The sequence below is a fragment of the Homo sapiens genome, chromosome 14 (assembly GCF_000001405.40).
Source record: "Homo sapiens chromosome 14, GRCh38.p14 Primary Assembly".
NCBI lineage: Eukaryota > Metazoa > Chordata > Mammalia > Primates > Hominidae > Homo > Homo sapiens.
Window position 1 is genome coordinate 95,235,626 of NC_000014.9, and position 26,967 is coordinate 95,262,592.

At 47.6% G+C, this 26,967-nt stretch overlaps 1 protein-coding gene across 5 annotated transcripts in view, besides 8 other annotated features; it reads right to left on the reverse strand.

The window, feature by feature from the left end:
• The window catches only part of CLMN (calmin), a 137,969-nt gene that overhangs the window by 53,686 nt on the left and 57,316 nt on the right, over positions 1 to 26,967 (reverse strand). The gene's annotated exons all lie outside the window — the stretch shown is intronic.
• Positions 17,612 to 18,538: an enhancer, noted in NCBI's record as "H3K4me1 hESC enhancer chr14:95719574-95720500 (GRCh37/hg19 assembly coordinates)". NCBI's record gives its function as "activates a minimal SCP1, AML or CMV promoter by ChIP-STARR-seq in primed H9 embryonic stem cells {active_cell/tissue: H9 hESC(primed)}" and the evidence as "EXISTENCE:reporter gene assay evidence [ECO:0000049][PMID:30033119]".
• Positions 18,539 to 19,464: an enhancer, noted in NCBI's record as "OCT4-NANOG-H3K27ac-H3K4me1 hESC enhancer chr14:95720501-95721426 (GRCh37/hg19 assembly coordinates)". NCBI's record gives its function as "activates a minimal SCP1, AML or CMV promoter by ChIP-STARR-seq in naive and primed H9 embryonic stem cells {active_cell/tissue: H9 hESC(naive and primed)}" and the evidence as "EXISTENCE:reporter gene assay evidence [ECO:0000049][PMID:30033119]".
• Positions 19,465 to 20,390: an enhancer, noted in NCBI's record as "OCT4-NANOG-H3K27ac-H3K4me1 hESC enhancer chr14:95721427-95722352 (GRCh37/hg19 assembly coordinates)". NCBI's record gives its function as "activates a minimal SCP1, AML or CMV promoter by ChIP-STARR-seq in naive and primed H9 embryonic stem cells {active_cell/tissue: H9 hESC(naive and primed)}" and the evidence as "EXISTENCE:reporter gene assay evidence [ECO:0000049][PMID:30033119]".
• Positions 23,122 to 23,793: an enhancer, noted in NCBI's record as "H3K4me1 hESC enhancer chr14:95725084-95725755 (GRCh37/hg19 assembly coordinates)". NCBI's record gives its function as "activates a minimal SCP1, AML or CMV promoter by ChIP-STARR-seq in naive H9 embryonic stem cells {active_cell/tissue: H9 hESC(naive)}" and the evidence as "EXISTENCE:reporter gene assay evidence [ECO:0000049][PMID:30033119]".
• Positions 23,775 to 23,844: an enhancer, noted in NCBI's record as "active region_8951". NCBI's record gives its function as "activates an Ori minimal core promoter by ATAC-STARR-seq in GM12878 lymphoblastoid cells {active_cell/tissue: GM12878}" and the evidence as "EXISTENCE:reporter gene assay evidence [ECO:0000049][PMID:35858748]".
• Positions 23,775 to 24,464: a biological region, named in NCBI's record as "H3K4me1 hESC enhancer GRCh37_chr14:95725756-95726426".
• Positions 23,794 to 24,464: an enhancer, noted in NCBI's record as "H3K4me1 hESC enhancer chr14:95725756-95726426 (GRCh37/hg19 assembly coordinates)". NCBI's record gives its function as "activates a minimal SCP1, AML or CMV promoter by ChIP-STARR-seq in naive H9 embryonic stem cells {active_cell/tissue: H9 hESC(naive)}" and the evidence as "EXISTENCE:reporter gene assay evidence [ECO:0000049][PMID:30033119]".
• Positions 25,666 to 26,292: an enhancer, noted in NCBI's record as "H3K4me1 hESC enhancer chr14:95727628-95728254 (GRCh37/hg19 assembly coordinates)". NCBI's record gives its function as "activates a minimal SCP1, AML or CMV promoter by ChIP-STARR-seq in primed H9 embryonic stem cells {active_cell/tissue: H9 hESC(primed)}" and the evidence as "EXISTENCE:reporter gene assay evidence [ECO:0000049][PMID:30033119]".

A 26,967-nucleotide genomic window follows, 5' to 3' on the forward strand; every position in this document is an offset into this window, starting at 1 on the left:
TGGCCATCGGCAAATGGCTTTAGTCACTGAATTCATACAGTTGGACAGAATCTGATTCTCATGAGAGGTGTTTTGCCTAGGTGGACAGCAGATCAGAATTTCCGCATGGGAGCCGTATTCTTTGACGTCCATCCAGACAGGTCCACCGGGGCCAGTGTTTCCAGCTTCCGAGACGCTGCTTGGGAGAGGGGAGGGAGACAAAGGGGGTGAGACGTGGCTTCATCTCTACACGCGCTCGCCCAGACGTTCGGGCATGCAGGAGGCGGAGGGGTACCAGGCTCCCTGAACCTGCCACCAGGATGGGTGAGCTGCAGCACAGCATGGGGGGCAAAAAGCCCACCTTCCCTCTGCCACCAAGCTGCTGTAGAGAAGGAGACATTTGAATGGGTGAGCCTGCCCTGCCAACCGGGGCAGTGAAGGTCCTCAAGGGAGCTGCTTGACAGCAGCCGCCACTTCCCATGCAATAACTTGTCTCTTCTGTAAGCCTCAAACATTCCTGCGCAGCTGCTCTCATGTGGTCCCCGTTTTACAGGTAAGGAGTCTGAGGCACAGAGAGCTTAGGAACATGGCCGCTCAGTGAAACGCCAGGATTTGAACACGTGACGGCTGAGGTGCTGTGTGGTGCACCTCCCACTGTTCTGCAGCGTCCTGGGGGCATGTGCTCTTCAGCCAGGCGGGGGGTCTCAATGCTCCAAACCCCCCTCCAGGAACTACTCTGGCCTCCCAGCTTTCCTCACCCCATGCCCCCACCCAGAACATCTCGCGCAGCTTGGAATCCCTCAAGGCCTGGCTCTCAACCAGTGGTTCTCAGCCCGGGGTGATGGCTCCCAGGGGACATCCCGCAATGCCTGGAGATGTTTTTGATTGCCACGACTGAGGGGGAGGGGCTGCTGGCACCCAGCGGGCAGAGGCCAGGGGCACTGCTCCACATCCTGCCATGCACGGGACAGCCCCAGATCACACAATGACCCGGCTCAGAGTGGCAACACTGCCAGGGGCAGAGGCCATTGGGGGGCCTGTGTGACTACCCCACACTGATCCTATCTTGACCTTTCTCCCACAGAAGACAGAGAAGAGTTTCAGCAACAGGAGGGCTCTGCCAACAAGCCCCTCTGAGTGACCTTGGACAATGTCAGTTCTGTACTTGGGGCCTCAGTTTGCCTATCTGTACAACAGGGATCATGGTACCCACTTCATGAGGTTGTGAGGACCAAGTTTATTAGCGCTGTCCTTGCCATACCATGTGGGGTTGTGGGAATGGTGTGGGGAGGGGCTGCTGTAGTTATTCGTCAGGCACTAGGCAGCCAGGGAGAGCATGCAAGCAGGTGACAGCAAGAAGGAAGAACAGCTATGACGAGGCCTCTATGGGATAAAGCATCCAAACACCTTGGCACGGGCCAAAGACCTTGGCACATCGTAAGTGCTCAATAGATGCAGCCGTGGCTATGATTGCTCATTTTGGACAAGTTACTGGACTACCCTGTAAAATGGAGATAATAACTCCCTCCTGGGGCTGTTGAAGAGACAATGAAGCCTGTGCACGCCAGGTGCAAAAAAGTTGTGTAGTAAACAGACTAATCTGTTCTTCCAATTTACAGCACATCACGGCCATGCACAGAGGCCCTGCAGATGGGCGGAGTGCCTTTCGCAATCCTCACAAAGCCAAGCGCCTTTAGACAAGTAGACCCGGCACCTGCAGAGGCTGGGAGGAGGCAGCCGGAGTCAGAGCTTGGGGCAGCAGAGAAGGTGGATCCCACCTGAACCCCAGGGGTTATGTGTGTGTGTGCCATGGGGTCACACACTAAGCGCTGGGACAGCATGGTCACGTGGCAGAGAGGGACTGGCTACCCTGGGTTCTCTCTGTTACCACTGGGAGGATCATTTGAGAGCAAAGGTCCCCATCCACTGTCCGGGAGGCCAGGAGAGGGAGGGTGGCAGGAGGCCTCACACTTTGCAACTTTGCTCCAGTTTTGTGCAGAGGGAAGAAGACCTTGGCACCCATCTGCTCCCATGCCCCAGGTGTCATTTCCCAAGAAGCCCAGCGTCTCACAGCCGTCTCGGCACCAGAGGACAGCCGCAGCCCCATGGGTGGCAGGCTCTGGAGGCTTCTCTGATGCTCCCTGGTCTAGAAATCTCTTGCCCAACCTTTTATATAAGTGACCTCCCGAGATGCTTTACATGCACTTGCTCATTCTTGGTCTGAGCTGACCTCTGCTCTCTGGGAAACCCCTTCTCCTCCTTGCCCAAGGATTCCTTTTCTCCATGGCTCAGATTCTTTCTAACTGCAAGCGTCCTTGGCTCACATCAGCCACGCAATCTCACTCCATCAGCTTGAGCGAGCCCCTGTGGATCTTTAAACCAGATGAAAAAACATCTTTCCTCTCTTGAGCCAAGTGAGGCGGCCCAGCCAACTGGCCCACCCTCCGACCACACAATGGCAAGCCCTGCCCCACTGACGGTGTGTAGAGGAGCCAGCCCTCAGACGGCCCCTGCCTGCCCCTCCAGCCCCAACGCTGCCGACTCCCACGGCCCACTGCCACTCCTTACTCCTGGCGTGGCCCAGCCCCGCTTGGTGGTTTCGCTCCTTTCCCCATCTTTCAACACCTCCCAGAAACACAACCTCATTACATGGCCTCATGCTGGTTCACTTGAGAAATAAAACTCAGAAACAAATTAAATGGCAATTTCTTTTTAAACAGGAGAGGGGCCAGGCTTCAGGAATACCAGGCCAACGTCCTTCGGTTCCGACTCTTTGGGGCCACTTCCCCCATCGGCTCTGGCGGTATTAAAGTCAAGGCCTCCATGTGGTTTTTCACCAGCAGTGATTTTGCATTTAATTTCCTTTGTTTTTCCTCCCCTCATGTTTGCTCTGACCCAAGTCCCTTTTATCAAGACTTTGGTAATAAAATGCAAAACCCTCTTTGGGACCATGCGCCAAGCAGCATGCAACTACTACAGGTAAGTGGCAGGCCAAGTCTTGTAGAGGCCCTCCCCCACCCAAATTCTTGGGCTCCTCCACCACCCCCTGCCACCATGCTGACCAGGGAGGCACAGACGGGCATCAGGGCACAGAGTGAGTAACCTGCTCCAGCCGGCACAAACCGGTGGTCTCCCCAATACATGCCCGCAGAGACTCAAATAAAACTGCCAAGCTCACTCTAACTAGGGACTTAAATCCAATTCTCTCACAGGTCCCAGAGGCCACCAATTAACATACCATGTCCTGCCCCACCATGCCCCGCTTCTCAGCTGCTCCAAAACACATAACCCAGGGCTCCAAAGAGCTAGTCCCAATTACACACCAAATTAAGTTTAAGCTATATATATATAGGGCTGGTGCCTATAACTAAAATAGAAAAATAAAACCGCTCTAGTTTTGCTGTGAGTTATTCTGTCTAACCTCAGTGCTAAACCTCAGCCCACCTTGATTTATGACAGGTGACGCCAGCCAGCCATTAAAAACACAAGCTTAGAAAGGGATTTTAACATTCACCCAGATGGGCAGGCCAGGGTGACAGGACCAATCCAGGCAGACTGCCCTGAAGCGCCCGGCTGAAATTGAGACAAGGATTGAAATAGTACTGAACACATCACTCACACACCCAGTTAGCAGACATTGATGACTATACTCAGGCATAAATACTAAGACATAGACCTCATGGGCTTCCTTTGGCAGGTTTGAGAAGAAGGAATGAACGCAGGGAAGGAAGGAGATGGGTAAGAAAATGAAGAAGGAAGGAAGAGAGGGAGGGAAGGAAGGAAAGATGGAATGGAGATAGAAAAGTATTCGCTTTTTACATTCTATAAGGATTCAGCTTCTGGGCCCCTGACCATGATCCCTGGAGGACTAAACTCTCTGTTGAGAACCACAGATTTTGGCGGTTTCTTTTAATCCCAATGTTTTTGTGAAAGTGTTCCGGTTTCTGAATATAAACTCGAGCAACATCTAAAGCAGTGTTTTCCAAGCCATATTCTACAGAGTATGAGTTCTAAAATGCCCCTCCAAAAAGGAAGAGCTTGCTAAGTTTGGAACATATTACACAGTCTGCCCCCTTGCATCATTTATGATCAGTAAATGAGAGGCTCTGATAAGCCCTGCAATGAAGAAATTGGTTTAACTTTGTTTAAACTAAGTGCATTTGAACCCAGACCCCATTTCTGTGTAAAATGAATCGCAACGTTCTTACAGAATCCTGCTTTGGAAATAGTCATGTGCCATATAATGACATTTCAACGATGGACCACATACACAATGGTGTTCCCATGGGATTATAATGGAGCTGTCTTATACAGGTATACCATTCATTATCTTTTATATCTATTTTTTACTGTGCCTCTTCTATGTTTAGATATTGTTTAGATGTGAAAACACTGTTGTGTTACAATTACCTGCAGTATTCAGTACAGTAACAAGCTATACAGGAGTCTAGGAGCAATAGGCTGCACCATAGATCTGAGGTGTGTAGTAGGCTGTACCATCCAGTTTTGTGTAAGCACACTCGACAATGTTTGTACAACAAAATCGCCTAACAGTGCAATTCTCAGGATGTATTCCTGTTGTGAAGCGATGTAGGACTGCACAGAGAAATGTTCATAAATCAGGGGAAGATGACCCACTGGTGCTCACAGCCAGCCATGTGCTTACCAAACCCTACTTCCTTCTCCTTTCTGGCACACAGCGGTGCTACATCTCCCAGCCTCCTATGCAGGGAATGGTGTGGCATGACCAAGTTCCAGCTAGTAGAACATGGGTGGGTTCCAGGTATACCACTTCCAGACATGGCCCCAAACAAAATCCCACACAACCCTCCATGCCTCGTGACCACTGCATGGAAGGACTCCATGGACCTGGAGGGGAGACAGAACCATAAAAGGAAAGGAGTCTGGGGTCCCATGTCTCCCCATGGACAAGGATCACCCAGTAAAGCCATCCAAGGAGGAATACCCTTGCTGGACTGTTGAGTGAGAAATAAATATTCACTGAGTTAAGCCACAGTCACGTGGGGTGGTAATTACAGCAGCTGCCCACCCTGGCTAAAGCCCGCCTTGACTAAGAACTAGGCAAAGCGCAAGGAAGGAAGGGAGGAAATCAACCTTTATAAAGCCTCGTAATTCTCCCAACCACTTCAACAGGTGAGTGGCCATGTTTCCTATGTAGATGAGGAAACTGAGTCTCAGAGAGGGGAAGTGATTGGCCTCAGTAGCTGGTGGTACAGCCAGGAGAGGAGTCTATTCTAGTCACTGTGAGCCAAGCCCCTCCATGGCACCTTGCCGGGCTGCTTGAACCCCTTCAAAGCAAACATCTTGGAGAAGGCCCTTTGTGAAGTATCTGTTTCATGCCTGGATTGGCTCAAGTGCGGAAGAAAGGTGTGATCTGTTGTGTTGTCCCTTAGGAACAGAGCTTGACAGGCCTAGCAAGAAGAATTAGCTTGACCTCTTGTGTTCAGTTATTTAAAAAAAAAAAGTGAAAAACACACAACCTCATACAAATGACCCTGATTTGCATTTTTAAGCCCATCTGTCTTTAATAAAACCCCACACTCACCCTGTAAACATCCGTGTTTTTAAGTGCATGGAAAGGCCAATCAGCTGGGAGATGATCTAGTATTATGGTGACCAACTGTCCGGATTTGCCTGGGACTGAAGGGCCTCCTGGGGCATGGGACATTTGGGGCTCAAACTGGGAAAGTCCTAGGTAAACCAGGACAAGTGGGCCACTCTGGCTAGGAGTCAGCTACTATGTCCAGGAGAGCATGCCCCAGGGGGAAAGCAGCTGGGACAGGCAGAACTGGATTCACATGAAAAACAAAGAGAAAGGCAAGGCGGTTAATATTTGCTTTCAATGCAAGGGGCAAAACAAACCCAGAAATTCCCATTTGCAACTTCTACCTGCCAACAAAAAGTGACAACAGCATGAACTGAAGTTTCTACCCTGAGCAGGAGAGGTAAAGACTGGAAACTATGATGAAGAAAGGCAAGAGGTGTCAAGTTCTCCTGGAGCTGGAAGTGTCACCAACATTTTGTGTTAATTAGCACAAGAGAGACCAGAGGCTGCGTAAGCTGGAGCCAGGAGACTGAGCTATGACAATGTGACAATACCAATGCTGCAGACACCAACTGATCCTTCTGAAATGCATTCATTTGAAAACAAACAAAAGTTATCTATATATACAAACTGTCTAAATGTATACACTCATGCACGCCTGTGTGTGTGCGTGTGTGTATATGGAACACACACGCACGCACACTCTCGCCGTAATGTCAACCACCTTCAACCTTTTCAAGGAAGTCTGGTCACCAGAGTACCCGAAGGGATTTTTGTTATTACAAGGTCTCCCTAATGCCACAGACCCAATAGCTCAGACCTCAAGAACCAGACTGTGACATTGAGGTCGAAGTTGGATCATTGTTCCTGGGCAGAAACCCTGTAGGTTACAAACGCCAGTTCTGCAATCTTAAAAAACCCACTTGGATTACACCTGTGATTCTCAGTCCTGGGTGCACATGATGGTCATCTGGGGAAATTTGAAAAAAAAAAATTGAGGTGCCTGGGTCCCATTCTAGACTAAGTGAATTTGAATCCTAGGGGTGGGGACTCAGGCATTTCTTTTCTTTTTTCTTTTTCTTTTTTTTTTTTTTTTTTTTTTTTTTGAGATGGAGTCAGGCTCTGTTGCCCAGGCTGGAGTGCAGTGGCGCAGTCTCAGCTCACTGCAACCTCCACCTTCCAGGTTCAAGCGATTCTCCTGCCTCAGCCTCCCGAGCATCTGGGATTACAGGCATGCACCGCCATGCCTGGCTAATTTTTTGTATTTCTAGTAGAGATGGGGTTTCACCATGTTGGCCAGGCTGGTCTCGAGCTCCTGACCTCAAGTGATCCACCTGCCTTGGCCTCCCAAAGTGCTGGGATTACAGGCATGAGCCACCATGCCCAGCCTGGCATCTCTTTTTCTTTTTTTTTGAGACGGAGTCTCGCTCTGTCGCCAGGCTGGAGTGCAGTGACATGATCTCGGCTCACTGCAACAACATCCACCTCCACAGTTCAAGTGATTCTCCTGCCTCAGCCTCCCAAGTAGCTGGGACTACAGGCGCATGCCACCATGTCCGGCTCATTTTTTGTATTTTTAGTAGAGACAGGGTTTCACTATATAGGCCAAGATGGTCTCGAACTCCAGACCTCGTGATCCGCCCACCTTGGCCTCCCAAAGTGCTGGGATTACAGGCATGAGCCACCACGCCCAGCCTGGCATCTCTATTTTTAATGTACCCCAGGTGATTCTGACACTGAGCCAGGGCTGAGAACCACTGCCCTAAGCTAGAGGTTGGCAATTTTTTTTCTGTTAAGGGCCACATAGTAAATGTTGCAGACTTTGAAGGCCCTATGGTCTTTGTCATATAGAGTCAAGTCATCATCATGGTGTGAAAGCTGCCAAAACACTGCATAAATGGGTATGGCTGTGTTATAACAAAACTTTCTTTGTATGATCAAGTGGTGGGCCTACTTTGCCAAACCCTGCTGTAGACTCCATAAGATTCACTGCCTGATTTAAGCAGGCATTTTAGATTCTTCTGGTGTCCTTACCGCTCATGGCCCAACTTTTAAGATTTTAAGATCCAGTTTTGGGCTTCAGAAGGAAAGATTTGTTTGCATTCTCTTTACTGTTATGAGAAAATCAAAGAGCAGTGGTGGATTGATGGGGTGATAGGTGTGTGTGTTGGGGGTAGGTCTGTGGGAACTAGAAAAGGCAGAAGTGTTTGTTACTTGCAAGTCAGGGAGCCCTACTTGAATTTTCTCCCGCCATCACCAAAACCAGTACTGAAAATCACATTTGGGCAACCATGCTTTTAAATAATTATTGCCTCTGTTTTCCTTCTTCAACAACTGACCTTTTCAAATCCAGTCCTAGCACTCACTCCTCCCTCACCTAACCCCTACTAAAATTTTTCCTTTGTTTGAAGAATCCAGGGGAGCATGGAGAAGAAAAATGATTCCTTGATTTTTTTTTCGGTAAAGTTTAAATAGAAATAGGTGAAAAAAAATCCAAGGTAAAATTTTTCAATAGATCAAATTTTGTTCAAGGAGAGTAATCTCCTCTATTTTTTTTTTTTTTTTTAGCACCAAAGAACCCAGAATTACTCTGCTTATTGGAGCACTCGACAATCCAGTTTTCTGACTGGAGAGGCCTTTCAGTAAAAGCAGCTTCTGATATGGTTTGGATTTGTGTCCCCACCCAAATCTCATGTCAAATTGTGATCCCTAATGTTGGAGGTGGGGCCTGGTGGGAGGTGATTGCACCACAGGGGTGATTTCTTTTGAATAGTTTAGCACCATTCCTTTGGTGCTGTTCTCTCAATAGAGTTCTCACGAGATCTGGTTGTTTAAAGGCGTGTAGCACCTTCCCCCTCTCTCTTTTCCTCTTGCACCAGCCATGTAAGAGGTACTTGCTTCCCCTTCGCCTTCTACCATGATTGTAAGATTCCTGTGGCCTCCCCAGCCATGCTTCCTATACAGCCTGCAGAACCATGAGCCAATTAAACCTCTTTTCTTTATAAATTACCCAATCTCAGGTATTTCTTTACAGTAGTGCGAGAACAGACTAATACAGCTTCTCATCCAACACTGTCATCAAGGCAGTCAGCCAGAGTCTACTTGAATGCCTCCCGGGATGAGGTGCTCAGTACCTATTCAGGTAGCCTGTTCCACAGTTGGGCAGCTCTAGTAGCCTAATTTTCAGATACTGAACTGAAACCTGTCACCCTCACACTCCCAATTATTGGTCCTAGTTGTGCCCGTTGAGTTTTCTCCTTATCCACAAGACAAGCTTTGAGATACTGGAAACCTGATTGTGGGTGCCTCTGGTCAAACATTTCTAGTTCCTCCAAAACTTAACATCGCATAGAAAAACTAAGAACGCACAGAAACACTCTACATCAGATGATTCTGACAGGGAAGTCTTGAGAAATGTTTTTCAGGCTGCTAAAAAATCCAGTACAATGGAAGGTTTTGTTACTTTTGTTGAAAGACTACTATAATTCTTCCCTCTATATATGCTATGAAAACTGTTCTTTGACACAGGTTTGTTAGGGGTCAATTTTTACGTGAAGATGAACCCGTGCATCTATGCAGGAGATGAGAACACACTAGTGCGCTAAAAGAAGGACATATCATATCACTAACAGATCCCCTTCCAATGGGGATCACTAACAGATCCCCTTCCAATGGGGGCTGCTGCAAATATTCAGGATTTCCCCTTTGGGGCAACAGGAATCTCATAACCACCTACAGTTCCTTTTTCACTTTGCTGTCAGGAAATTCATCCTTGAACTTGAAGTCCACCTTTAGCATATATACACATATATGTGTATACACACACACACACACACACACATAAGGATCTAAATCAATGAATATTTTCATGAAAATTTAGGTTCAAGGAAGGTTAATATCTAAATATTTGGGCCACATTCTCACTCATTTGCTAAAGGTGGACTTCAAGTTCAAGGATGAATTTCCTGACCGCAAAGTGAAAAAGGAACTGTAACTGGTTATATTATATATATATATATATATAATATATATATATATTATATATATATATATATTATATATATATATTATATATATATATATAATATATATATATATATTATATATATATAGTTTTGTTTTGTTTTATTTTATTTTATGGGTCAGGTAAGCTACCTCAAATGTCCAAGAATGTAGAGTATAATAATGAACAAGTGAACACATGAATGAGTGAATGCATAAGTAGGCAGAATGTCTTATAAATCTTTGTATCTTGCCCCCTCCCAGTGCCTGGTGTGTAAGTACAGATGCGTGATGGATGGACGGATGGATGGATGGATGGATGGATAGGTGGATGGGTGGGTAGATGGATGGATGGATAGGTAGATGGATGAATGGATAGGTGGATGGAGAGATGGATGGATGAATGGATGGGTGGGTGGATGGATGGATGAATGAATGGATAGGTGGATGGGTGAGTGGGTGGATGGATGGATGGATGAATGGATAGGTAGATGGATAGATGGATGGGTGGGTGGGTGGGTGGATGGATGGATGGATGGATGGATGGATAGGTGGATGGATAAATGGATGGGTGGATGGATGGATGAATGAATGAATGGATAGGTGGGTGGGTGGTTGGATTATTGGATGGATGGATGGATGGACGGATGGATGGATAGGTGGGTGGGTGGGTGGATTGCTGGATGGATGGATGCATGGATGGATGGATGGATGGATGGACACACGGATGAATGGATGGATGGATGGATGGATGGATGGATGGATGGAAAGCCCACTCCCTTTTCTACTCTTTGCATTTGGCCTCCAAACGCACCATGCCCATTATGATATTCCCTCGTATTAATCATGACTTTTTATTTTTTGCATATTCTGATGTTGTGACATCTGGGACTCTGCTAATACTAAATAAGCTGCTGCTCCCAGAGCTGACTGATTCCTAGCAATAGCACACAACTCACAAGAAACATGCTTTTCATATGAAAACCGAACAATCCAGAGCCCACACCTTTCCCTTCCTCTATCAGGCTATTATACTTTGAGACAATGTTTCCTGCCCTAATTACCTCAGGGCCAGGCCAGGAAACTAGGGACAGCCCCTATGCTCAGAGCCTGCTGAAATCACTCAAACTACCAATCCTAAACCTGCTGAACCTGCCTCTCCCATTCCTTCCTGTGAAAACCACAAGAAAGGTTCTTGTCCATCTTTCTTCTCTCTCCTTTTGCCACTTAATGGGCCGTGGGGCTTCCCATGGGGCCCTGCATGGTGTGGCACCCCCCTCCTCTTGGGAACTGTGAGTAACAAACTATTTTTTTGAGATGGAGTCTCGCTCTGTCGCCCAGGCTGGAGTGCAGTGGCGCCATCTTGGCTCACTGCAAGCTCCACCTCCCGGGTTCATGCCATTCTCTTGCCTCAGCCTCCCAAGTAGCTGGGAGTAGAGGCGCCCACCACCACGCCAGCTAATTTTTTGTATTTTTGGTAGAGGTGGGGTTTCACTGTGTTAGCCAGGATGGTTTCAATCTCCTGACCTCGTGATCCTCCTGCCTCAGCCACCCAAAGTGCAGGAACTACAGGCGTGAGCCACGGCACCTGGCCACAAACTGTTTTTTAAAATGGAAGTTGTCTCCTGATCTGTGGGCCTCACCATAGCTGAATTATAATAAAACCCACATTTTAAAATATCCCTGCCCCCAAATTCTTATAGAGTTTAGATCACTCATTTCCCAGCTGCAACCTTAACTGCTACTCTGTGAATCTAACCTCATCAATTCTAGGAACAAAATCTAGGTCTTCTCCCTCTTTGCACCTGCCCCCTGGACTCCCAGAGTTGCTGTTCACAGTACTGATCAGGCTGTTAATGTCAGTGACATCACCAGACAGAATTCACAGGCCAGAACCATGACAGCCTGGGTGAAGGTACTCAGGAATCAGTGTGGGACCCAGCAGTGTGCCAGCCCAAGGGGCCTTCTGAACATCCATCCCTGATTGGATGGGTCACTATGGCTATATTGGTGGAATTCTGACCTGGAATGAAGTCCCTACATGGTGCTTTTCTGGCACTGAGCCACTGTGAAGGGATTTCACCCAGGCCAGCATTTTCTATGCCTAGGTTCAGGTATCCAGGGAACTTCCCTGGCTACATAATGAGCAGCAGATGTACACATGCTTGGCCAAGGCTCAGCCATCTTGGCATTTAAATGGTCAATTAAGGTGCTGCATCTGATTGGCCCCTGGGAAGAAAAGAGGTGCTGTGCCGCATGGTGCCATCAGGCATGAAGGAACCTCCCTGAGTCGAGAGGCTGCTGGTTGTCGGATCTCTGCTGCACAGCTCCATGTCTTTTGGGCTTCCTCTTTGCTCTGCACTGTGCACACTTCATCCTTTACTCTGACCCAGCCAACCCAGGAGACAGGCACTATCATTATGGTGTGCACACCAGAAGGGTCTGCAGACCCACTTTTGTATAAGGATGTCTCCTCCCTTACCACTGATCCACGTGGTAAGAGCACTGGGACCCTGGCAGCCAACAATGTGGTCAATGGATCAGGGTTGCACCTGAATCCATTCCTTGGAAATTCAGAATGGGACTATGATTCTGGACTCCAACTGACTGGTCCTTCGAATCAAAGGGATGGTGTGCAGGCCATTAGCTGCTACGTGGACTGGAGAGCAAAGACTAGTGAGGAAGGAAGAAAGAGAGAGACATAGAGATGAGAGAAGAGGAGAGAGAGAAAAAGAGAGAGAAGGAGAGAGAGAGAAAGCATGCAAAAGAGAGACCTGTTCTGGCCAGTTCCTGAGGCCCCACTACACCCTAACCCTTGGGTTTATGCAACTCTGCTACTCTTAAAGTAAATCCAACTTTTTAATGGTGCTCTCATGGGTTTCTGTTGGTTACAATTAAAAGCAGCTCAACTAATTTCTTCAATAAGCAAACTGCAAATGAAAAAAAAAAAAGAGGAAAGAGGGGAAAAGAAACTTGTCAAGAGAGGCTTAAGAGACACACCAGCTCGTTGCAATGTATGGGCTTTGATTCAGACAATTTTTTAAAATATTTTAAAAAATCATTGTATTCTGAAAGTTTGAAAACATAACTAAAATTCTTAAGAAAATATAAAATGCCAAAATTAGGGCAAGAAGAATTGGGAAATTTTAAATAAACCAATGAATGTTAAAAACAGCAACATAGAGACCTTGACTCAAATATTTCTGATCCCCATCTTGCAGCTGTGCTAACCAAGGCACAGAGACGTTAGGTTACCCATCGAAGAAATGAGAGCGAGGTTTGAACCCCAGGCCTGGCCCTAAAGCTCACATCCCTAACCATTACACAGTACTGTCCGTTGACCTCGTCCCTGACCAGGACACCAGATGTCACTCATAGCATGTCCCAGTAAACCACAAGGAAATCATTAGCAGAAGTATTCCAAGTCCTTCCAAATTAGGTCACCACCCCCTGCAATGCTGCCTGCCACCTTGGAGGGTCCCTCTGCAGATGGATGCGTGCTTTTGGTGGTTATTTGCAATTTCAAATATTTTAGTCAGTTCTTCCCTTCTGCAAGGGAAGAATCCTGTCTTCAAAGTCTAAATGCCATAAAAGGGCTTCCCTGCATAAACAAGCCTGCAGTGGGGGGAACTGGAATAGGAAACAACGTTTTTATCATAAGCTTGCCTGTATATTTTTTCTACCATAAGTATATATTTGATAAAAGTTTTATGTTTTATTTACAAAAAATTACTATGTACCCTGTACATAGTGCAGCATTTCTGATCTTCTGTCTTCAACACCAATCGGGGGAAATATTTACAAATGTTATATTTGACAAGAAAATTTTCTTTGTACAAAATGAGTGGGTATCTACAGTAGAACAAAATTGAAAATTACAACAGAAAAAAAGGCACATGGATTAAATTATTCTATGACAAATGATTTCCTTTCATTCTTCCTTCTACGTTTGTTGCATTTTTGATGGCTTAACACTATTTTGACCACATTGTGTGTGCACCAGTAAGGTATGCTGCATAGTGGACACAGCTGGCTGCCTGCCCAATATCTTTTCTCGCCTTTCCTGAATGGTAGCCGTTGTCACTGCTATTTATCTTGCTTCCTCTTCATCACTGCATGTTGAGCAGATAACTTGTCTTTTAGTTGATTAGCACAAGGAACCAGACACATTCAAACCTGGTGGGAAACTGGCACAGTCCTGCCCGATCCTGGACTTTGCACCCTAGCTGCAATAACATAATGAAACTTTGTAGCCCTCTCCCTTGGGAAGAAGGTGAGTCATGTCTGTGTATTGGAAAAGGGTATGTACAAATATCTTGGGAAGCTAATGGGGTGGACCGAGACAGATGCTGCTGGTTGCCTCCCCAATATCCATTTTCCCCTTCTTTCTAACAAACAGAATCCCAATTTCTTTCCTTTTCTTTTTCTTTTTTTTTTGAGATGGAGTCTCCCTCTGTCGCCCAGGCTGGAGTGCAGTGGTGCGATCTCAGCTCACTGCAACCTCCGCCTTCCGGATTCAAGCAATTCTCCTGCCTCAGCCTCCCAAGTAGCTGGGACTACAGGCGTGCACCATCACACCCAGCTAATTTTTTTTGTATTTTCAGTACAGACGGGGTTTCACTGTGTTAGCCAGGGTGGTCTTGATCTCCTGACTTCATGATCTGCCCACTCAGAACCCAATTTCAAGTTAGCAATCTTCCTGGTTTAAAAACAACCATTTCCCAGCCTTCTTGCACTCAGAGGTAGCCATGTAACAAAGTTTGGCCAAGGAGCTGGGAGTGGAACTCAGGGAGTAGGGGTTCCAGGAATGCTTTTTAAAAGGGGGCAGACAATGCTGGTGTGTGCCCCCGTTCCCATTCCTTTAATCTGCCTTCCCAAAACAAAGGTGCGAAGCTGGATTACACAACCGCCACTGCTAAGAATGACTGAGCAGTGAACAGAGGTAGCTGGTTCCTGAATGGCCCTACTGGGCCCCAGAACTGGGCCAGGCTGTCTCTCTCTGGGCTTATTTGTATATGATCAAGAAATCCTCTTTGATGAAGCCATTGTAAGTCAAGTTTTTGTTACTTGCAGGTGAACGATAAAATAGACATCCTTGTGTTATTACAAACCCATCATGTGTGACGGTAAACAGAATGCTTACTCAACCATATCCCAATTGTTGGATATTTCAGCTAGTTCCAATGTTTTTTTCCTGCTGCTATACATACTTCAGTAATAAGCATTTTATGCATAAATGCCTGTGGGTACTTGCAATTCTATAGCACTTTACAATCTGCAAAACTCTTCCAACTCCATTCTCTCATGAAGCCAGAGAAAAATAATTCAAGATAAGATGGCTCGGCAGACAAATAACAGGCAACAGGCTCTCTGGGATGTGTTCTTCCCTCTGTTATGTTGCCCCACATGTAACTTCTTCACAAAAAGCCATGCAGTGTTCATAAATATTGGCGGCTGAGCCAAAAGCAAGAAATGCAAAACAATTACACATCCTGAAGAGCTACAGAGCATGTCATCCAGGTTCTAAAACCCTGCAGATTAACTCTATTGGAGGTCACCCCGTTAAGTCAGGAAGCCTGTCTCTTACTTCAGGTACAAAGAATGAACGAATGCAGGGGACTAAGGCATAAACAAGGGCTCATGAATACTGTATATTGCTTGGGGCCTCTGAAAAACATAGGGGGACTGGCCCAAAGCCTCAAGATGATGAGCTACATGTTTGCATGTGGGAGCTGGGAGGGGAGGAGAATGGAAAGGACAAGCACTAGAAAAGGTGGCAAGGACTAGGAGATCTTGCAAAGGTATTAGGAGAGGGCTGGTTCTTAACGACAGTACAGGAAATCTGCTCCAGGGACCACCTGGAGCCAAACATCACCTCCTCTAACCTCTGGATTTCCTGAGTGCACTTTTTATTTCCCATGTGGTATGGAATACGCATTTGGCGTCTGCACTCAATGATCTCATGTGTGTGTGTAATGGGGGGTGGGTGTCGCAGGGCCAAAGGCAACGTCCATCTTCTTGGTTCTTAGACAATGATGATAAAACCACCACCCACCATCCTGCATTCTAAGAAAGCTTTGTGCCTCTGCATGTGATATTCATTTTGTGGATGGGATCCAATCATTCTGGCTGTGAATCGAATCCCATATTCTCACCGGCCAACCCTATAAAATCAGAGATGTAGTAAAAGGGACTCGTCTCCTAGTCAAGTGGTCTTTGCACTCTTTAAAACACATTTGTTCCCTACTTGTCCGATTCTGAATGTCTTCGATTGTATAAATACAATTCTTTTGTTACAGAACGAGGACGACCTAGCATCTGAATCAAAAAGGTCATTGTATACCCTTGAGTGTGAAAACTAGGAACCTGTATTTATTAAGTTCTGTGCATGGCTCTGGGCACTTGAGAGATAGGTATTATTATCTCTGTTTTGTAGAGGAGGAAACTGAGGCTCAGAAAGGTAAAGGAATTTTATGCTCAGGGTCACACACATAAAAATGATATTCTCAATGTCTTAGAAAGATTGGCTGTAATTCTGGGAACATGCAGTGTCACAGGGAGAATTGTGGGGCCTTTGCTGGTGAACAGCACCTCTTCCCATTGTTCAACTGTCTCTTTTGTTGGAGTGCTGGAGCTCCTCAGAGCCTAGTGGTTTTCTGAGACACATTCCCTTCCTTTTACTTATTCTCATAGCTCCAGGCACAGGTTCTAAACTTGGGTCCAAGGACCCGAGCCAGGCCTGGGGTCTCTTTATGCAGAGATGAGTTTTCTGCACTCAGCCCCCATGGAGGAGAAGGATTAGCGAGGCAAAGCCCAACTTGATTGAAAAATAACTTCCCTGCAGACCACTTTATGGCTCTGCGCCTCTTCCTTCCAGTCCTGCTGGGTCTGGGCCCAAGACCGTGGACTCGGGGTGGTCCTTCCTTCTCCAAGGGGCCGGAAATTACCAAAGGAGCAACAGGGGGTGCTGAGTGTGCCAGCTGAAGTCGGGCAGCAACTAATTAATGTTTTAAAAATTTAAAAACCAAAGCAACCAGGGGTCAAGTGCAGGCCCTCAGAACCAGGCTGCCTGGCCTCGACCATTTACCAGCTCTGAGAGGGTGGGAAAGCTGCTCCCCCTCACTGTCCCCATACGGAAAGTGGGGATAATGAGAGCCCACAGCATTGCAGGGTTGCCTTGAAGATAAAATGAGAGCTGGTATTTACAAAGTGCTTGGAATCTGACACGTGGCAGTGAACAAAGATTGGACAGTGCCAGCCCTGCATCTGAATGAGCACCTTGAATGTTCACCCATCAGTCCAAGCAAGACTCATTGCTTACGAGTAGCTGAGAGACATCTGGTCTGCGCCCTTGGCTTCTGGTGGGTAATTTATGTCACATTTGAGAAGAGTTCTGACTACGAAGGACCTTAGTGTGGGAATGGCTACACCCAACAGGCTTAGGGTGGGGACTGGCCGCCAATCCAGAAAGACCTGCCCTGTGATTTAGAGTGGAGGTTTTAAGGTCACACAGTCTCAGGAGTCCTGGAGACTGAGTTCAACCACCCAAGCAATCAATCAATCATCAGCCATGCCTCTGTAATGAAGCCCCAGTGGAAACCCAAGTGAGTCTCCCCAGTTGGCAATATTCAGTGAGTGCTGTCACGTGTGATGCCGGGAGGGTAAAGCATCCTGCCCCCATGGGGAGGACACATGGGGAGCTTTGCATCGGGAACCCTTCCAGTCTTGCCCTACGCATCTCTTGCTTGCATTGATTTTAATCTGAAGCCATGCCCTGGAATAAGCCGTAACTGTGAAGTATAACAGTGTTCAGTGAGTTCACTGAGTACTTCTGATGGAATGATAGAAACTGAGGGTGATTTTAGGAACCCCCCTGAACTTGCAGTTGGTGCCAGAAACAAGAGTGGTCTTGTGTGGACCTTGGCAATTTGGCAAACTCCAGGCATCTTCCCCTCCAAAAACCCTCCTGAGCTCCATGCCCACTGTGGCCCCTGACCACCCACATTGGAAAGGACAAAGGAACTGAGGAAGGAAGCTTCTGCCTGCACGAAGTGGAGTTCTTTCTATAAATTAGCTCATGGATGCCTCGGTTTATACATCTGTAAAATGGGACTCACAGCGCTTACCCCTCCAGGTTGTAACTTGCCCAAGATCTCACAGTCAGGGAGCAAGAGCACAGGGTTCCGCTCCATGGCCTGAGTACTGTGCCCAGTCCACATAACCTCCTAAGGGTTAAGGCCAGCTTGGTGGTGAGACAGTTCCCCTCAGGAAGGACGGCTCATTCACACAGGAAATGACATCTTTAGCATCACAATTACAAATATGGATCAAGTCTCGCATGCAGGGAATGCAGGGAGATGGAGGACAGTGTCACCTAATATGGCCCAGTCATGTCATAAGAATGACCTGGGAGGCTCATTAACACAGTGTTTTTTTGTTTTTTTGTTTTTTTTTTTTTGAGACAGAGTCTCTCTCTGTTGCCCAGGCTGGAGTGCAGTGGCGCGATCTCGGCTCACTGCAAGCTCCGCCTCCCGGGTTCACGCCATTCTCCTGCCTCAGCCTCCCCAGTAGCTGGGACTACAGGTGCCCGCCACCACTCCTGGCTAATTTTTTTTGTATTTTTAGTAGAAACGGGGTTTCACCATGTTAGCCAGGATGGTCTCGATCTCCTGACCTCCTGATCCGCCCGCCTCGGCCTCTCAAAGTGCTGGGATTACAGGCGTGAGCCACTGCACAAGGCCCATTAACACAGTTTTTTAGGCCCAGGACCTGACTGAAAAGATCCAAATGCCAACTGGAGAAGCCTGGGAATCTGTATGTTTAATAGCTCACTGTGGGCCAATTCTACCCATGGGCAGATCCGAGAACCCCTGTCAAGATGGAAAGGGCCTGGGGTCCCCTCCTAGCAGCACCACTGTTGTGTGAGTCTCAGAGTCTCAGGTCTGGACCTTTGTCCCCATCTATGTAACGGGGGTGATGATCCCAGCTGTCCTTTCTCACCCATCGTGCAGTTGTGAGGATGATGTGCTTGGGGCAGACCCAGCCCCACCCATGACCCAGGAGCCAAGGCCACCCCCCAAGGTCAGCAGTGTATAGCACTCACTAGACAGCGGGTGCAGCCAGTTCTGCTAGGACGGCGGTTAGAAAATGCAAATTGGTTCCAAAGCATTTGACATAGTAGGGAAAAATTTAAGCATGACATAAACTTGGCATTTGCTGATGTACAATTTCATTCCTGAGAAACACTAGATGGGCATAGAATTCATAAAGCTCTGCACCCAGCTGACGAGCAGAGTGGAGCTGTGTAGAATATACCCTGCTCCCAACATACCGAAGCCTCGTGCACACACACTTGGACGTCCACCAGCCCCCTTGGCTCCCTGCGTGCGTTATGAGGCACCCCATCCATATCAAATCCTGTGACGTGTTATGGGCTGAACGGTGTTCTCCCCCACCCTCCCACAATCCAGATGTTCAAGTCCTAACCCAAGGAGCCAGAATGTGACAATACTATTCAAGATAGGATCTTTTTAAAATTTTTTTGAGATGGAGTCTTGCTCTGTCACCCAGGCTGGAGTGCAGTGGTGCAATTACGGCTCACTGCAGCCTCAACTTCCCAGGGCTTAAGTGATCCGCTGGACTCAGCCTCCCCAGTAGCCAGGTGTGTGCCACTATGCCTGGCTAATTTAAAATAGTTTCTTTTGTAGAGACAGGGTCTCGCTATGTTGACTAGGCTGGTTTTGAACTCCTGGGTTCAAGTGATCCTCCCACCTTGCTGGGATTGAGCCACCCCACCTGGCCTGGAGCTAGGATCTTTAAAGAGGTGATTAAGTTAAAACGAGGCCTTTCGCATTTGCTCTAATCCAACCTGACAGTGTTCTTATAAGAAGAGGACAATTGAACACTCCAGGAAACACCAGGGGTGCATGCACAGAGAGGGATGACCATGAGAGGAGGGGCAGGGGACGGCCATCTGCAAGCCAAGGAGAGCGCTTCAGAGGAAGCCCCCTGCCGGCACCTTGATCCTGGACTTCCAGCCTCCAGCACTATAGGAAAATACATTTCTGTTGGTTAAGCCACCCAACCTGGGGTACAGTAGTTCCCCCCATCTGCAGTTTCAGTTTCTGTGACTTCAGTTGCTAGCAGTCATCTGGGGTCTGAAAATAGGTGAGTATGGTGCAAGAAGATGTTCTGAGAGAGAGGGTGAGAACATTCACCTGACTTTCATTACAGGGTCTTGTTATCATTGATTTTATTAGTCATTGTTGTTAATCTCTCACTGTGCCTAATTTATAAATTGAACTTTATCATACATATGTATGTGCAGGAAAAAGCATAGTACATATAGGGTTCGGCACTATCTGCAGTTTCAAGCATCCCTGGGGGCTCTTGGAACGCATCCCCTGCAGAGAAGGAGGCAGTAGGGTACTTGTTCCAGCAGCCTTAGCAAATGAATACACAGCTTTCTGTCTGATTTCCATCGGGTCACCTTCCTTCCACCCTTTCACAATTCACAAGCCACACCCCTCCCACGCCCACTTCAGGAGCAAGCTTCAGGCCTTCCTCAAGTCAGTGCCGTATTTAGTGTAGCACTGACGCATTTCTTAACCACTCAACAGTTCTATTGTTTTTACTAGGTTCCCATGTTTTTTTAATGCATCCCTCATGAAGTTTTTGAGTGCTGCACTCCAGTGTTATTTTCCCTTATTTTTGTGCATGAGTGTGGCGATGTTTAGGAGCACATGTACCATGTTATAGCAGAACTGACAGTACTAGTATAAGCTCTTTGCCTAAATTAATTCCTTTAATCCGTATTCTTTTAACCCTATGAGGCAGCTACTATCCTTATCCCCATTTTACAAATGAGGAAACTGAGGCACAGAAAGCTTAACGAACTTGCCTGCAGTCATACAGCTAGAAGTGGGCAGAATGGTAATTTGAGCCCAAGTTCTGAACCACTGGGCTACAGGGTAGTTACATGGGTGGGCATATGGGGTACAATGCCCCCACACTGTCCTCGCCACGGGCACACCCAACCGAGGCCCGCCACCCACTCCTCGGCACCCAGTTGGGAAGGACTTCACAGCACTCCCTGCCTCCTTTAAAACCCAGTTCTATTCACAAAAGAGCACAGACTGATCAGGCTTCATGAATGTTTAATGGGATGGAACCCTCCTTGTTTTGTCAGCAACAATGAATCTTGGCTGAGGAAATTGCTACCAACGACACTGTGACTCAACAGATAATTGCAGTGCTTGACACTGAGAAGCACTCTAACTCCTTCTTTGTGAACACGTTTTGACACAGTTTGCTCCCTGTGAAGGAGCTGGCCTCCTGGAGTACCTCCCACCTGCTGCTGGGCCCACGGCAGGGTAACTGCCACCAGCTTGCTGAGTGTGGCTCTGCACAACCGCCTCGTCAATACCCATCCCACGTGGAACTGTGCAAGACACTTACATGACCAGAAAGAAGACCAGGTGACTCCTGGCTAGAGTCCTTCATTTGTTCATTTCAAAACGAAACTGAACATGGCGTGTGTCTAGGCTGGGATGGGAGAGAAATTGCCAAATGTAGGGCCCTGGTCCACATTGCACCGGGAAAACAGACATGGGGAAACTGGGGATGGCAGGAGAAGAGCTGTCAGTGGACAGGGCCACTAAGCCTCCTGGGTCAGGGGCAGAATTGGAGCAGGAGCTTGAAGGCCCCATGCGGTGTTAGCAGATAGGGAAAAGGAGAGGGCATTCTCCATGTTGGGAACAGCAAGGGCAAAGGCTGGGTGGCATCTAATGATGAATGATGTGTTCTGAGACTGGTTAAGCCCACGCTCCTTGACAGACAGGAGGGGGACACAGAGGAGGGAGAGGCGCTTTGATGAGACAGCCTTAAATGCCACCCAGGGGTTTCTTCAGACCAAAAATATTTAATACGACGAGGCCCATTATCCATAAAGCTTCGTTAAATTAGAATGCGTGATCTTTCATCCTGGGTTGACGTTTGCACGAGTTAAGTCGGAGAAGGCAAAGGTAAGGGCAAAATGCATTATTTACACTTTGCATCGAAACAACGGTCGAGAGCCTGCTGTCAACCGCCCGCTGCATCTAGACGGGGACCTGTTTGTTACTGTTTTTATTCATTTCCCTCTTAATTAATCCTCTGCAAATAACAGATTTACATCATTCTGTTGGAGTTGAAGGATCCCAACTGTAAATGAAGGTGTCTATTCATTGACATAGACCCTGCAGGAGCCATTTGTTTTGTTCATAGAATAATTATCTACTTAACTGTTAACAATATTTTAACAGAATCTCATTAATTCAAATTAAACTCTTTCAATTAACTTGTATTATTTAAGGGCCTGGGTGGGACGGCACGCAAGCTTGCATTTCTGAAGCCAGGCAGTGGGCTAAAGGTGCTCAGGCACACACCTGGTTTAATTCTTTCAACGACAACGTGTTCAAACTCCCTTGTCTTGCAGCCTGCCTCTTTGCTCTCACACCCCAGCCACGTGGCTATGCGGGGTGCGGAGCTACCATGTTCTAGTAAGACTTCCAAGTCCTAGGCCTTGTCTCTGCCGCATCTCAGCACCCTGGTCCTCCCAGTCCCAGTTGGACTGACTTAGAGGACGCAGGACCTATGCTGAGCCTCTTCCCTGAGAGATTTGGACTCAGGACTGAAGCCATGAGACCAGAACTTGGGGGTTAAAGGAGGCCTCATTTCCCGCTTGGTAGAGAAAGTCGGTCCAGACAATAAGAGAGAACTGGACAGACTGTAGAGAGGGGCAGAGGCAAAAGTACAAGAGTCAGCTATGGTGTGTGTGAAGTGTGTGGTGTGTGTACATGTGGGGGCTGTGGGCATGAGTGTGGTGCGAGTGTGCAGAATAGGTGGTATGCGTGAGGTGTGTGTGCTTGTGTGGGGTGTGGGGAATGTGTATTCAGCACATGTGCAGTGTTTATGTGTGTTTGTGTGGGGATATGATATGCGTGTAGTGTTGTGTATATGTGGGGTGTGTGTATATGTATGCATAGTGCATATGATGTGGTGTGTGTGGTGTGCATGGTGTGTACATATGTATGATGTATATGTATGTATCTGTGACATGTGGGGGCGTGTGTGTGGTGTGTGTGTGGTGTATGTGTGTGTGTGGGGTGTGTGTATGTGTATGTGTGGTGTGTGGTGTATGGTATGTTTGTGTGGGGGTGTGTATATGTGTATGTGTGGTGTGTGTGTGATCTGTGTGGTGTGTGTAGAGGATGTGTTTGTATGTGTGGTGTGGTTGTGTGTGGAGGGTGTGTTTGTGTGTGGTATATGCATCTGTGGTGTGTGTGTTGAGGGTGTGTATGTGTGGTGTGTGATGTGTGCGGAGGATGTGTTTGTATGTGTGGTGTGGTTGTGTGTGAAGGGTATGTGTATGTGGTGTGTATGTATCTGTGGTATATGTGCGGAAGGTGTGTATGTGTGGTGTGTGGTGTGTGTGTGGAGGGTGTGTGTATGTGGAGATATGTGTATATGTGTGGTGTGTGGTTGTGTGTGGAGGGTGTGTTTGTGTGTGGTATGTGTATGTATCTGTGGTGTGTGTGTGGTATGTGTATGTATCTGTGGTGTGTGTGTGGAGGGTGTGTATGTGTGGTGTGGTTGTATGTGGAAGGTGTGTTTGTGTGTGGTATGTGTATGTATCTGTGGTGTGTGTGTGGTATGTGTATGTATCTGTGGTGTGTGTGTGGAGGGTGTGTGTGTATGTGGAGGATATGTGTATATGTGTGGTTTGTGAGTGAATGGAGTATGTGTTTGTGTGTATGGTGTGTGGTGTGTGTGCGTGGAGAGTGTGTTTGTATGTATGTGTGATATGTGTTGTGTGTGTTTGTGTGGTGTGGTGTGTGGAGAATGTGTTTGTATGTATGTGTGATATGTGTTGTGTGTTTATGTGTGCTGTGGTGTGCTATGTGCATCTGTGTGTGTGAAGTGGGGTGTGCACTCAGGGAGTTGGTGCTGCATGGCAGGCTGGAGCGGAGAGCTGTGCCGGCCAGCAGGGCTAGGAAAGCAGTGGGCCGGCCTCCTAGTGTCAGAGGTATAGACAACCACTGCTCTTCCCCAATGTCAGTGGGAATGGAGGGGTAAACACATATGTTTGGTTGGGAGATGCGACAGAGCTGACAGCAGGCTGGACCCTGGCCGTCCACTGGCTCCCCACTCACCAGGCCTGACCTTGGGCACCAGAACGGAGAAGGAAATGTGCGTGGACAAACCTCCGGGTTACCAGAATGTGCACTTTATGAGGACACGGAGGAAACCCCCACCCACCTCTTCCTGGGCCCCTCCTGGAGTTTCAAGAAACATCTGGGAGGAAACGAGACAGGCTGTAGTTCCCACAGAGCTGCTGGGAGCAGGCCAGGGAAACGAGATCTTGATCTGTTTGGGAATCCTGTTTTTGTGCCTGGTTGGGGGCTAGGAGAGGAGATCACTTGCACAGGGCCCACCCCCACCCCCAGGTGGGACCAGCACAGGGCAGATACCTGTTCTGAACTATGGGCATCTGCTGTTGAGTTCACTGAGCACAAAAGTAATGACATGCAAACTCAAAACCATGGCATGCATAACCCCTCAAAGGTTCTTCTTCACTCAGGACTCTTCAGCATTAAAATGCATGGCCAGCTGCACCTGCGTTTCCTCTCCCCACACCCACCTGGACGGCTATTCCCTTGCGCTTGGTGGCTCCTGAATATGCCTGCTTGCCTGGGGCTCCAGGCCTTTGCACACGCTGTTCCTGCTGTCTGGCACTCTCTCCCTGCACTTCTCCACCTGCTCGTCAAATTCCTCTGGCTGCCCTCCCTAAGATAGGGGTGGCACTTCCTTTCCACTCCCTGCTATTGCAGCACCCACGACTCTGCATCCTCCTGTGGGCATCTGGCACATGGCAGGTGTTCAGTAAGCATATCATTCATTCATTCATTCTGTCCTGCATATTGGTTCACTAGAAGAATGGATCAAAAAGCCAGGCGCAGTGGCTCACGCCTGTAATCCCAGCACTTTGGGAGGCCGAGGCAGGCAGATCACGAGGTCAGGAGATCGAGACCATCCTGGCTAACACGGTGAAACCCCATCTCTACTAAAAATACAAAAAAATTAGCTGGGCGAGGTGGCGGGCGCCTGTAGTCGCAGCTACTCGGGAGGCTGAGGCAGGAGAATGGTGTGAACCCAGAAAGCGGAGCTTTCAGTGAGCCGAGATGGCGCCACTGCACTCCAGCCTGGGCAACAGAGCCAGACTCTGTCTAAAAAAAAAAAAAAGAATGGATCCAACAAACAAATTACTGAATAAAATGTTTGTTGAAAGAATCAAGCACTTACAATATTGCCTGCTATGAGTGGAGACGTTATCTTAGACACATCCTTAGTCTTCAGGGAGCTTGTGATTTTGACACACAATAACAGAAGGCTTGTGGGAAGTGTGACTAATATCTTACAGTCCATGTCAAATGTGAAATCAATGGTAAACACAATACATATTGTGGGGTGAGTTGGTGTGGGTGGGAAACGATCCTTGGAGGCTGGTGTGACCATGGGAGGCTTCCTGGTGGAAGTGTCTTTGACTCAGGTATTGAGTGACTACACAACCCAGTTTATCTCCATTGTCCAAATGAAATACAGTTGATTCTCATCATTCACAGTATGATATTCTATGAAGTTGTGGTCAACCCTGACTTGTGAATACTGAATCATTGTTTTTGTGGAAATACAGTATTAGGTTCCTGCAAACCTCTGGTTACAAATTTTTTCCAACCAACCAATACATACCCTTGACTCTTGTTTCATGTGTGTTTCTGTCTAAGGAGACTTTATTGAATATGCATTGATGACTCACTAACACTGAACTCATGGCCAACAGCGCTGTAACTCATCCCTGAACGAAGCTTACTGAACACATGTATTTTCTCCGCAAGGAACGTCAGAGCCTTTCTGCACTTCCGGACTCTGACTGGGGGCTGTTTTAAACGGCAAGATCACCGAGAGAAAGCACACAAATGCAAAAAAAAAAAAAAAAGTGGCACTAAGTAAGCTGTGGAAAGGACACTTATTTATAGTTTGAGAGCTGAAGCAGAAGGCCGAGGCCCATTGCCTCGTTTCACCTCCGCTGGGAACGTGCGCGTCTGGCTGCTCAGACTTTATGCCGCTTTGCGCACCTCCGTGAAAGACGAGCACTGATTGTGGAGACACAAATACATTTCAGAGAGTGGGTGAATTCCCGGATTCTGTCTTTGTAAACTGGTCTACTCTCTAAAATGGATTTGTAGCTACAAATGTCATGTTACTGCCATGGTTTTTGCATTTTTGTAGTTTCTCCTGGGCATCTTGCTATCTAAAACGGCCCTCAGGTATAGTGCTGAAGTGCAGAAAGGCTGCAATATTCCCTGCAGAGAAAATACACTTATCAGGGAATGGAATGGAATGAGCAGTCACTCTCAGCAGTGAGAGTCACCAGTTTTAGAGGACCTGTGCCTCTGCATTGCGACCTGGAGACCACACAACTGCTGTCGGGAAGGATGGCTCTTCCAAGCCTGGCCTTCCCAAGATGCCCACAGGTCCACCCGCTCCTCTCATCTGCCCATTGGGCAGTTATGCCCCAGATGACATGGGGATCCCCACAGCCCATGCCCCCCTGCAGCAAGAACCTGGAAGTCATCACTGGCTTCTGCGTCCCTGGCCTCTATGAGTATCCATCAGCCTCACTCAGAGGGAATGAGTCCTGACAACCTGCGAGCAGCTTTGTCCCCCAGATGCCTGTCCTGGAAATTTTTCCTCCAAGCGGCAGCTTGGCTCTGGGCTCAGGAGGGCCCGCATCAAAGGCCTGGCTGTGCCTGGCTGACAGGCGCTGGGGCTGGGCCAGCGTCCACGCCTGTATTCCCAAATGCTCCCAAACATCCTGGCAAATCAATCTGAACTCTCCACGTGTCTCCCCACATCGTTTGGACAGCCAGCAACCCGATGTCATCACCTGTTCAAAAGCATTAAAGCTATTCTCAGAGCTGGGCTCCAGGGGACTCTCACTGAGCTGATGTTTTCTCAGAGCCCTGTACCTGCGCTGGGGTTCACTGAGTTTTTGGCCTGGCTACTGAAAACCACTCTGCCAGCTGTTCTGTTCAACAGAAGAACAACAAAATAAATACATTCCCAGTGACCAGAGGACAACTCAGCAAGCAGCGACCTGAAAAATAATCTAGAACAAGCAAAGAGTCAACCAAAAGATATCCACGTGACATTTATGAAATGCCTAATAAAAATAGCTACCACTTCTGCAGCACTTGTTATGTGTCAGGCAGGCACTGTGCTTAGGGCTTTAGAGACAGTATCGTATCCAATCTTGGTAAGTTCAAGGTAGGGCCTACTCTTTTTCCCATTTCATTTATTTATTTATTTTTGAGACAGGA